This window comes from Homo sapiens, chromosome 15, assembly GCF_000001405.40.
Source record: "Homo sapiens chromosome 15, GRCh38.p14 Primary Assembly".
NCBI lineage: Eukaryota > Metazoa > Chordata > Mammalia > Primates > Hominidae > Homo > Homo sapiens.
In genome coordinates this window covers 80,017,182-80,029,666 of record NC_000015.10, presented here as the reverse complement: position 1 = coordinate 80,029,666, position 12,485 = coordinate 80,017,182, and the positions used below count along the sequence as shown (strand labels likewise).

The 12,485-nt window shown below is 46.0% G+C and overlaps 2 annotated features.

Moving 5' to 3' along the window:
- Positions 1,234-1,615: a silencer, noted in NCBI's record as "fragment chr15:80320394-80320775 (GRCh37/hg19 assembly coordinates)". NCBI's record gives its function as "represses an EF-1alpha promoter that drives an FKBP-Casp9 reporter gene in an ReSE screen in K562 erythroleukemia cells {active_cell/tissue: K562}" and the evidence as "EXISTENCE:reporter gene assay evidence [ECO:0000049][PMID:32094911]".
- Positions 11,940-12,099: an enhancer, noted in NCBI's record as "active region_9942". NCBI's record gives its function as "activates an Ori minimal core promoter by ATAC-STARR-seq in GM12878 lymphoblastoid cells {active_cell/tissue: GM12878}" and the evidence as "EXISTENCE:reporter gene assay evidence [ECO:0000049][PMID:35858748]".

Sequence of the window (12,485 nt, the reverse complement as noted above, 5' to 3'; positions counted from 1 at the left end):
AGGCTGAGGCAGGTAGATATCCTGAGTTCAGGAGTTTGAGACCAGCCTGGCCAACATGGTGAAACCCCATCTCTACTAAAAATACAAAAATTAGTGGGACATGGTGGTAGGCGCCTGTAATTCCAGCTACTCAGGAGGCTGAGGCACAAGAATCGCTTGAACCCAGGAGGCGGAGGATGCAGTGAGTGGAGACTGCACCACTGCACTCCAGGCTGGGCGACAGAGTGAGACTTTGTCTCAAAAAAAAAAAAGATTACTCTGCAAGTTGGCATCATGACAATGGAAGAGGACCTGGCCTGGACACTTGAGAAATGGCAGATGAATGGGAACTCACAAAGGAGGTAGAGAAGGAGCTAAATGTTCAGCTCTATTCCTAACCCACCAAGGCTCAGCTTGGAGTTTGCTGTTTGGGAAACCAACTCCTCATCCAGCAAAATAAGTCATTTGTTTCTTTAGGCTACATTCTCTTTTAGCTGATATTCCGCTTCTTGAATGCTGCTGCTGCTTCTTTGTCTTCTTAGGGCTGCTCCAGATGACTTCTGTCATTATGATGCTAATTACAACACCTGCTTATCTAGAGTGGTAATGTCAAATATGTGACACCGTCTTTACCAGTGCCCTTCCAATGCCAACAAACCCTGGTAATCACAGCAGGCATTTTTACCCAACAATAGTACTTTTTCCCAATAAACCTGGATGTACCCCTCAGAATCCTTCTCAACACAGTTCTCCAGACAGCTCTAAAAAATTCATGAGAGTTAGTTCATGAGATAGAGCCTGATTACTAGCTCAGGACAATATTTTTTCAGTTTACATAACATTTTTAGATACATTATCTCTTTTGCTTTTCTCAACAGCTTTATGAAGTAGTTGCTACTTCATAAAGGCCCATTTTAGGGATGAGAAAATGTATATTTCATGAAGATAAATGACTTGACCAAAATTACACATATAAATTATGGGAGAGTCAGAATCTGAACTTAGGGCTCTTGCTTATAAATTCTAAGCCTTTATCTAAACCAACAAGGTATTTCCCACCTGTGTTTCTTCCCAGTTAGGAGAACTATTTAATAAGCCTCAGGGAACAGAGAAAATCAAGAACAGTTGCTAAGCCTCCTGCACTGGCGTAGCAGACAGTACTGGTTACTCTAACTGGGAAATGTTATGTTCTAGATAAAAATACTGCGAAATCCCAATCTCTCATTGAAGTTTGGACAATTTTTTTTTTTTTTTTTTGAGACGGAGTCTCACTCTGTCTCCCAGGCTGGAGTGCAGTGGCGCGATCTCGGCTCACTGCAAGCTCTGCTTCCCAGGTTCAGGCCATTCTCCTGCCTCAACCTCCTGAGTAATTGGGCTACAGGCGCCTGCAACCACGCCCAGCTAATTTTTTGTATTTTTAGTAGAGACGGGGTTTCACCGTGTTAGCCAGGACGGTCTCGATCTCCTGACCTCGTGATCCGCCCGCCTCGGCCTCCCAAAGTGCTGGGATTACAGGCGTGAGCCACCGCCACGCCCGGCTGGACAATTTTTTAAAATGTATTATTATTTTTTATTTTTTTGAGACAGAGTCTCACTCTGCCACCCAGGCTGGAGTGCAGTGGTGTGATCTCGGCTCACTGCAACCTCTGCCTCCCAGGTTCAAGCGACTACCCCACCACACTTGGCTAATTTTTGTATTTTTAGTAAAGACAGGGTTTCACCATGTTGGTCAGTCTGGTCTTCAACTCCTTACCTCAGGTGATCTGCCCACCTCAACCTCCCAAACTGCTGGGATTACAGGCAAGAGCCACCATGCATGGCCTTTTTTGTGGGGAGAGGGGACAGAGTCTCGCTCTGTCACCCAGGCTGGAGTGCAGTGGCACGATCTCGTCTCGCTGCAACCTCTGCCTCCCAGGTTCAAGTGATTCCCCTGCCTCAGCCTCCCAAGTAGTTGGGATTACAGGCACCTGCCACGACACCTGGCTAATTTTTGTATTTTCAGTAGAGATGGGGTTCCACCATGTTGGCCAGGCTGGCCTTGAACTCCTGACATCAAGAGATCCGCCCACCTCAGCCTCCCAAAGTGCTGGGATTACAGGTGTGAGCCACTGTGCCAGGCCGAAGTTTGGACAAATGTTTGGCTGTATGTTCTAAGAAGCCATGGTGTATGCCAGCAGGAGATAGGAGCACAGTAACCTTTAGACATCTAGGCAGGTTGGCCTTGAATATCTAGAAAGTTGGTCCATGGGCAGCCAAGCCATAGCCACTGAGATTTAGGGACAGAATTTTGTTGAATAATTCACAATTTTTTTAAAAAAAGTAAACATGTTCTGATCCTCTAAGGACACACCAGGCCCAGGGAAAGGACCAAACAATGTGTGGTATACACATGGATTAGTATACTGACATCCATTCTAATTGAGAGGCTAGGACTACAAATGGCATTTTCCATACCCCCTTGTAGCTACTGTACAAAATGGCAATTACTTTCAACCAACCAAATGTACCTGCATGTGGTGTTGAATTTTGTAGGGAGAGCAATGTGGCAGCAATGGTGGTAGAGGCTGTATGGAACTGGAGGCTGCCAGTGATTTCCTGGTTTGGGAGGTAGTTTCCTGGAGGTGGCTGGGGTGGCAGCTTCCTGCTTCTGAAGCTTCTTGATCATGCAGAAGCAGAAGGTCCCTTGGCTGCACAGTTCTGTGTTGTGGTTTTGGGAGTCCTTCCGGAAGGTTCATTCTAGTGTCTATTTCTTTAGGGCCTCCAGTGATTCTGTGATCTGTCTTTAACACGTAATAAATACCTTTCTGTTTAAACTAGCTGGGGCAGATTCTGTGGTCTGCAACTGAGAACACTGACCCACACCCCACGCCCGGGAGAAATATGTCTGCTTGTACTTAGATTCTTCCTGGTAATTCAGAGGCCTTCAGAGAAGCAGATTCTGAGCATGAAGCTGACTTGTTGCCCTCCGCCAGGATTCGGATTGTGCCACTGCTCTGGTTCCAGCAAAGTGGCCGTGTTCTTTCTGAAATAGAAGCCCAGCCCTGCTGCGAGATATACCAGCTTCCAGCTGGGGAGGTAGTTACTCTTCCTAATATCCCTGTTAGAAAGGAAACAAAAGGGATGAAGTGTTCATGCTGTTCCTAGAAAGAAAGTAGAGAACCATACTTGAATACCTCTTTCAATAACCCTTGCCCAGGGGCTTCTTTCTCTGAGTCAGCAGTCCCATGGTTAGGAGGGATGTGTGTGTCTGTGTCTGTGTGTGCACGTGTGTGTGTATGAAAGACCAATCCCTGGGGCATTTGTATGAATGAAGTACTGGGTCTTGCCCCTTATATTAACCATGTCTTTTATTTCTGTATTCTGATGCTTTGACATCTTGGGTCCTCCTTGACTCTAGAGGGACTGCCCTCCTAGGGTTATTCAAATACAAACCAACCAATCCAGAGTCCCCCCTCCCAACCATCTCCTTTACTGGACTCTCACACTCCCTGTCCTAATAACTCCAGGGCCAGGTACCAAATAGCTAGAGATAGCCCCTATACCCCAGAACCCCTTGTAATTATTCAAAGCAGCCAATTCCAACACTGTCTCCCTGATTCCTTCCTATAGAAACCACAACAAAGGCTCTTGTCCACATTTTTCTCTCTCTCCCTCTGCCTTCAGTCTAGCCCTGGTGCTTTCTTGTGTGTTCCCCATGGTGTGGCACGCCCTGCTTTTTTTTTCCTTTTCTTTTTTTGAGATGGAGTCTCGCTCCATCACCCAGGCTGGAGTGCAGTGGCACAATCTCGGCTCACTGCAACCTCCGCCTCCCGGGTTCAAGCAATTCTCCTGCCTCAGCCTCCCGAGTAGCTGGGACTACAGGCGTCTGCCATCATGCCTGGCTAATTTTTTGTGTTTTTAGTAGAGACGGGGTTTCACCATGTTAGCCAGGATGGTCTCGATCTCCTGACCTCATGATCTGCCTGCCTCGGCCTCCCAAAGTGCTGAGATTACAGGTGTGAGCCACTGCGCCCAGCTGGCATGCCCCCTTCTTATGGGATCTGGGAGTATAACAAAATATCTTTCCAATGGCAGTTGTCTGTTGGGTTTGCCATACCTAAACAGTAATAAAACCTACATTGTAAAGTGCACCTTTATTCATTAATTCCATCCATTTAAAGCAGCGGTCTCCAACAATTTTGGCACCAGGGACTGGTTTTGTGGAAGACAATTTTTCCAGGGATGGCGTGTGTGTGTGCAGGGGATGGTTTGAGGATGATTCAAGTGCATTACGTTTATTGTGCACTTTGTTTCTGTTATTATTACATTGTAATATATAATGAAATAATTATACAACTCACCATAACGTAGATTCAGTGGGACCCCTGAGCTTGTTTTCCTGCAACTAGACGGTCCCATCTGGGGGTGACAGGAGACAGTGACAGATCATCAGGCATTAGATTCTCATAAGCAAAATCTAGATTTGTCGCACGTGCAGTTCACAATAGGGTTTGTGCTCCCGTGAGAATCTAATGCCGCCGCTGATCTGACAGGAGGCAGAGCTCAGGTGGGAATACGAGTGATGGAGAGCAGCTGTAAATACAGATGATGCCTTGTTCGCTTGCCTGCCAATCACCTCCTGCTGTGTGGCCTGGTTCCTAACAGACGGTGGACCAGTACCAGTCCATGACCTGGAGGCTGGGAACCCCTGATTTAAAGAATGTCTGTTTAGGCCTCTTAAACACCAGGCACAATTCTAGGAATAGAGAATTCTGTGATGAGCAAATCAGACACTGGAGCTGCCTTTAAGAAGTCTAAGTAGGGCAGGCTCAGTGTCGTGGCTCACGCCTGTAATCCTAGCACTTTGGGAGGCTGAGGTGGGTGGATCACTTGAGCTCAGGAGTTCGAGACCAGCCTGGTCAACATGGTGAAACCTCGTCTCTACTAAAAATACATAAATTAGCAGGATGTGATGGCGGGAGCCTGTAATCCCAGCTACTCGGGAGGCTGAGGCAGGAGAATTGCTTGAACCTGGGAAGCAGAGGTTGCGGTGAGCCAAGATTGCGCCACTGCACTCCAGCCTGGGCAACAGAGCAAGACTCCATCACACACACACACACACACACACACACACACACACACACGAAGAATAAGTAGGGCAGCCCGGGTACGGTGCCTCACGCTTATAATCCCAGCACTTTGGGAGGTCGAAGCGGGTGGATCACTTGAGGTCAGGAGTTCGAGACCAGCCTGGCTAACATGGTGAAACTCTGCCTCTACTAAAAATACAAAAATTAGCCAGGCGTGGCAGCGCGTGACTGTAGTCCCAGCTACTTGGGAAGCGGAGGCAGGAGAATGGCTTGAACCTGGGAGGCGGAGGTTGCAGTGAGCTGAGATCGCACCATCGCACTCCAGCCTGGGTGACAGAGCGAGACTCCATCTCAAAAAACAAGTATAAGTAGGGCAGACAGACATGAGACAAATAATCAAAAAAATAAACATATAATTTTAAAATATGACAAATTATATGAAGAAAAACATTACAGGTTACTATGTCAATATAAGAAAGCAGGATGTGGGTCGGGTGCAGTGGCTCATACCTGTAATCCCAGCACTTTGGGATGCTGAGGCGGGCAGATTGCCTGAAGTCAGGAGTTCAAGACCAGTCTGGCCAACATGGTGAAACTCCGTCTCTACTAAAAATACAAAAAAATTAGCCAGGCGTGGTGGTGTGCACCTGTAATCCCAGCTACTCGGGAGGCTGATGCAAGGGAATTGCTTGAACCAGGGAGGTAGAGGTTTCAGTGAGCCGAGATTGCGCCACTGCACTCCAGCCTGGGCGACAGAGCAAGACTCTGTCTCAAAAAAAAAAAAGAAGAAAACAGGATGTGGCTACTAAACTAAAGCCTGAAGCATGAGCTAAGTGAGAATAACATGTGCAAAGGCCCTGAGGCAGGAAAGAGGTTGTGTTAGAGGAGAGAAGAGAGGGTTAGGATGGCTGAAAGATCAAGAGTAAAAAGTGAACATCAGATGGCTCCAGAGAGACTGGCAGGACTAGATCATGTAAAGCTTTGAAGGTCATCTTAAGGATTTTGAAATTCTTCCTTAAAGTAATGAGAAAGCCTAGACGGGACAAAATGGGAGCAGGAAGAACAACAGGAAGACAAGTGCGAAAGTGCAAAAGAGCTGTGGACTGGGATTGGGGCACGAGGGATCAAGGAAAGTGGATGAATTTGAAATTTATTTGAAATTGGAATTGACAAGACTTGGTGATGGTTGAATGTGGGAGTGCTGGGAGGGAGGAGTGGAGGCTACATTGCATCACTGTTTAAACCTGGGCTTGCAGCAGCCTCTGCAAGGCATGTGGGGAGTAGGATCCTTAGTCCATATGGCCCAAGTTTCTCGTGTCAGCAGCTGTACACTTACCAGAGAAGCAGGTCCTGGAGGAGCTCCAGGCCCAGCTCCTGAGCCCAGACTGTCTTCCTAAGGGTCTCAGTGATGCTGGCAGAAGTGGGAAAGCACCTGTTGATTGGCCTCCCTGCCTGCCGCTAGACCCCTGACACGAAAAGACTTGGACCAGGGACCTGTACCCCGAGCTTACCTCTGCTGCCACCTCAGCAGAATGGAGGGCTTCCGAGGGGAAAAAGCTGTGGGGTAACAGCATATAAATGTTTGGACATAATTTTCCTTTTTCCTTCCTATCTTTATGTTCCTTAGAAGAAATCATTTGCCCTTTTTGGCGGGTGGGGGTAGAACAACTTTTCCAGGACTAAATAAGATATCCTTCCTCCAGGGAGTACAAATTAGGTATTCTCTAAAAGTAACAGAGGTGACCAAAATAAGGACTTTGAATGCTATTTATTGCCAAGAATATCCTGGTTTAAGCATACCTCTCTGGGAGACAAGGATATCACAGTATGAAGATCCACTCTCCACTTTGCTGTGCTCTGTGTCCCAGGAGGCCAACCTGGATGGGTGGCATCAGTGGCACCTTTGCCCTTCATCTCCTGGTTGGGCTTGGTCAGTGGACAATATTGGCAGGAGATGGGAAGGTGGGAGGTTTCCTTCCTACCATATTGTTGTGAGTTGGCTGCATCCTTTTAGGGGTCATAGCTTCTAACAGTTGTTCCTCTTGATACCCTTCCTGTGTTCTGATAACTAGTCCTTCACCCTTGCCTCTTCAGCCTTAGTGGGGGTAATAGCTCCAGGCTGTTACTGGCCCTGGCATACAGCACTACTTGTGCCTCATATGTTTTCTTAAACCATGCTCATACCTTTTGTATACATAGTTGCTTTTTTAAACTCTTCTCAAATTGCCCTGTTAAAATACACCATCTAGGGCTGGGCACAGTAGCTCACACCTGTAATCCCAGCACTCTGGGAGGCCAACGTGGGCAGATTGTTTGAGCCCAGGAGGCTGAGACCGACCTGGGAAACATAGCGAGACTCCATCTCTACAAAAAATTAGAAAAATTAGCTGGGCATGGTGTCATGTGCCTGTAGTTGCAGTTACTTATGAGGCTAAGGTGGGAGGATTGCCTGAGCTCAGGAGTTCCAGGCTGCAGTGAGCTGTGTTTGCGCCACTGCACTCCAGCCTGGGTGACAAAATGAGACCATGTCTCAAAAATAAATAAAAATGAAATAAAATAAAGCATACCATCTGTTTCCCACCAAGACCTTGACTGATAAGTAAGTTACAACCTTTCTAGAGTTCAATTTCCCCATTTATAAATTCTTTCTAGCTTTAACATTTCAATCATCATACACTTTCTAAATAAAGACAATCTTTTTTTTTTAAAAGAAGCACTTGTGTTTTTAAAAAACTGACTCCTGACTTCTGGTTTCCAGTCCGACACGTATGGAACTTGGAAGTCAGCACTCTGTCCTAACAAGTAAAAAGCTGAACAAACTGAAAAAAAATAACATCTCTTCTTTTGTTCTGTTAGAAAAGTAAGGTCACATAGCAAACTGCTGCCCCCAAAATTGGAGAGATAGGCAAATGCAGAGAATCACAATTTACTGTAATAGAAACTTCCACAGGAACCTGTACCAGGATAGGAAAATCTGAATTGTAATTCAAGAATTGCTGGAGACTCAGAGTGGCAAGTTTGACAGTTAATTCCAGGAAGACTCATTCAGGGGGGCCGCCATACTTTTGAGTTTTACCTCCAGGAGTTCTAACAGGTTCTCACAATGATTATCAGAGAAAAATCCCCTTGTGCTTCTAGCAGGGAGAGGGGAAAACAAACCATTTTGAAATGTATAAGAATATTCTGTCATTCTCTCTCTCTCGTTTTTTTTTTTTTTTTTTTTTTTTTAATAAAAGTCTCACTCTGTCACCCAGGCTGGAGTACAGCAGCATAATCCTGGCTCACTAGTCTCCACCTCCCAGGCTCAAGGGATCCTCCTGCTTAGCCTCCCAAGTAGCTGGGACTATGGGTGTGTACCACCACACTCAGCTAATGTTTTTTGTTGAGATGGGGTCTTGCCATATTGGCCAGGCTGGTCTCAAACTCCTGGCCTGAAACAATCCTCCTGCCTTGGCCTCTCAAAGTGCTGGAATTGGAGACTTGAGCCACTGTGCCTGGCTGCCTTCTGTTATCCTTAACAAGGCCTGCACTCAGAGAAACGACTTCACCATTGTCTGGGGTTTTATCAGAGCCTAGCCAATCAGGGGAGAGAAAAATGCCCAACTCCAGCCCTCTTTAGCCTTCTATCTGATAGAAGAAAAATACCCAACCTCAACCCACTATAGCCACCATGTCTCACCTAGGTGGCGGGGGAAAAAACCTGAGAAGTACTTGTGAAGTTCACAGTCCAGAGGCACAGGCTCACTAAAAGACCGAGATCCAGTCATAGGACTATATAATGCTTCCCTTCCCCTCATGCCACACCTTGCCACCACATCACTAAAGGCTTATTTATCTCAGTTTCTTCTACAAGGCATACTAAAAGGCAAAAACACAGTTTGCAGAGACAGAGCAAGCATCAGAACCAGACTCAGATATGCAGGGACACTGGAAATATCAGACCATGAATTTATTTTTATTTTATTTTATTTTATTTTTTGAGATGGAGTCTCACACTGTCACCCGGGCTGGTGTGCAATCTTGGCTCACTGCCACCTCTGCCTCCCGGGTTCAAGCGATTCTCCTGCTTCAGCCTCCTGAGTAGCTGGGACTACAGGCATGCACCAGCACACCCGGCTAATTTCTGTATTTTTAGTACAGATAGGGTTTCACTATGTTGGCCAGGCTGGTCTCAAACTCCTGACCTCGTGATCCGCCCACCTCGGCCTCCCAAAGTGCTGGGATTACAGCCACTGCGCCCAGCCCAGACCAGGAATTTAAGAGAACTATGATGAATATGCTAAGGGATCTAATGGATAAAGTAGAAAGCATGCAAGAACAGATGGGCAATGCAGAGAGATGGAAATTCTAAGAAAGAATAAAAAGTAAATGCTAGAGATCAAAAACATTGTAACAGAAATAAAGAATGCCTTTGACGGGCTCATTAGTAATGTGCATAAGGCTGAGGAAAGACTCTCTCAGCTTAAAGATATGTCAATAGAAACTTCTGAAATGAAAAAGCAAAGAGAAAATAGTCCGAAAAAAAAACAAAAAGAAACTCAGGATGCTGAGTTGGGAGGATCACTCAAGCCCAAGAGGCAGAGGTTGCAGAGAGCCAAGATCGGGCCACTGCACTCCAGCCTGGGCAACAGAGCAAGACCCTGTCTCTTTAAAAAAAAAAAAAAAAAGCTGGGCACAGTGGCTCACGCCTGTAATTCCAGGACTTTGGGAGGCCAAGGCAGGCAGATCACTTGAGGTCACGAGTTTGAGACCAGCCTGGCAAACATGGCGAACCCTGCCTCTACTAAAAATATAAAAATTAGCCAGGCATGGTGGTGCATGCCTGTAGTCCCAGCTACTTGGGAGGCTGAGGCAGGAGAATCACTTGAATCCAGGAGGCAGAAGTTGCAGTGAACTGAGATTGTGCCACTGCATTCTAGCCTGGGCAAACTCCGTCTCAAAAAAAAAAAAAATCATCAAAATTAAAAGTCTGTTCTTTGAAAAGATCAATAAAATCAATAAGCCTCTAACCAGGCTAAAAAAAAAAAGAGTTGACAAATTATTAATATCAGAAGTGAAAGATACCTCTTTCACTTCTGATATTAATAATTACATATCCCATGAACATTAAGAGGTTAAGAAAGGAATATTATGAACAACTATGCCCAGGCATTTGACAAACTAGATGAAATGGGCAAATTCCTTGAAAGATACAATCTGCCAAAACATATGAAGAGAAACAGACAATCTGAATGGGCCAATATCTATTAAAGAACTTGAATCAGCCAGGCATGGTGGCTCACGCCTGTAATCCTAGCACTTTGGGAGGACGAGGTGAGCGGATCATGAGGTCAGGAGTTCGAAAACAGCCTGACCAACATGGCGAATCCCTACTTAAAATACAAAAATTAGCCGGGCGTGGTGGCAAGTGCCTGTAATCCCAGCTACTCAGGAGGCTGAGGCAGGAGAACTGCTTTAACCCAGGAGGTGGAGCGTGCAGTGAGCCGAGGTCACGCCACTGCACTCCAGCCTGGGTGACAGAGCAAGACTCTGTCTCAAAAAAAAAAAAAAGTTGAATCAATGATTAATAATTTTCTGTAACAGAAAGCATCAGGCCCAGATGAGTTCACTGGTGAATTCTATCAAATATTTAAGGAAGAAATTATTCTGACTCTCTAATCTCTTTCAGAAGATAGAAGCAGAGGGAATACTTCCTAGCTCATTCTGTGAGGTCAATATTACCTTAATATCAAAACAAGACAAAGAAAAGAAAACTACAGACCAATATTTCTCATGAATATTAATGCAAAAATACTCAACACCATATTAACAAATCAAATACGACAATGTGTAAAAAGAATTGTATGCCATAACCAGGGCCAGGCTTGGTGGCTCACACATGTAATCCCAGCACTTTGGGAGGCCAAGGGGGCAGATCTCCTGAGGTCAGGAATTCGAGACCAGCCTGGTCAACATGTAAAAACCCCATCTCTACTAAAAATACAAACATTAGCTGGGCGTGGTGGTGCACATCTGTAGTCCCAGCTACTTGGGAGGCTGAGGCAGGAGAATTGCTTGGACCTGGGAGGTGGAGGTTGCAGTGACCTGAGATCGCGTCATTGCACTCCAGCCTGGATGACGAGGGAAACTTCAACTCAAAAAACAAAACAAAACAAAACAGGCTGGGTGCAGTGGCTCACGCCAGTAATCCCAGCACTTTGGGAGGCTGAGGCAGGTGGATCACGAGGTCAGGAGTTCAAGACCAGCCTGGCCAACATAGTGAAACCCTGTCTCTACTAAAAATACAAAAATTAGCTGGGCATGGTGGCACGCACCTGTAGTCCCAGCTACTCCAGAGGCTGAGGCAGGAGAATCGCTGGAACCTGGGAGGTGGAGGTTGCTGTGAGCTGGGATCACGCCACTGCACTCCAGCTTGGGTGACAGAGCGAGACTTCGTCTCAAAAACAAAACAAAACAAAAGAATTATATACCGTGACCAAATGGAATTACCCAAGGTATGCAAGCCTGGTTCAACATTCAAAAACTCAATCACTATAATCCATCACATCAACAGAGAAAGAAAAATCACAAGATTACATCAATAGATACAAAAAAAAATTGACTAAGTCCGATACCCATTTATGATAAAAACTCTCACCAAACTAGGACTAGAAGAGAACTTCCTCTATTTGATAAAGAACATTAACAAAACCCTATAGCTAACACCTATTAATGGTGAGAAACAAGAAGCTTTCTCAGCTCAGAAACAAGGTAAGGGTGTCCTCTTTCACTTCTCTTTTTCAGTGTTGTGTCCGGAATTGGTGGGTTCTTGGTCTCACTGTGTCCAGAATTGGTAGGTTCTTGGTCTCACTGACTTCAAGAATGAAGCCGTGGACCCTCACAGTGAGTGTTACAGTTCTTAAAGGCAGCGTGTCCGGAGTTTGTTCCTTCTGATGTTCAGATGTGTTCGGAGTTTCTTCCTTCTGGTGGGTTCGTGGTCTCGCTGGCTCAGGAGTGAAGCTGCAGACCTTCATGGTGAGTGTTACAGCTCTTAAGGCGGCGTTTCTGGAGTTGTTCATTCCTCCCAGTGGGCTCGTGGTCTCACTGGCTTCAGGAGTGAAGCTGCAGACCTTCGCGGTGAGTGTTACAGCTCATAAAGGCAGTGTGGACCCAAAGAGTGACCAGCAGTAAGATTTATTGCAAAAAGCAAAAGAACAAAGCTTCCACGGTGTGGAAAAAGACCCTAGCGGGTTGCTACTGCTGGCTCTGGCAGCCTGCTTTTATTCTCTTATCTGGCCCCACCCACATCCTGCTGATTGGTAGAGCCCAGTGGTCTGTTTTGACAGGGCGCTGATTGGTGCGTTTACAATCCCTGAGCTAGACACAGAGGTGCTCCACGTCCCCACCAGATTAGCTAGATACAGTGTCCACACAAAGGTTTTCCAAGTCCCCTGGTAG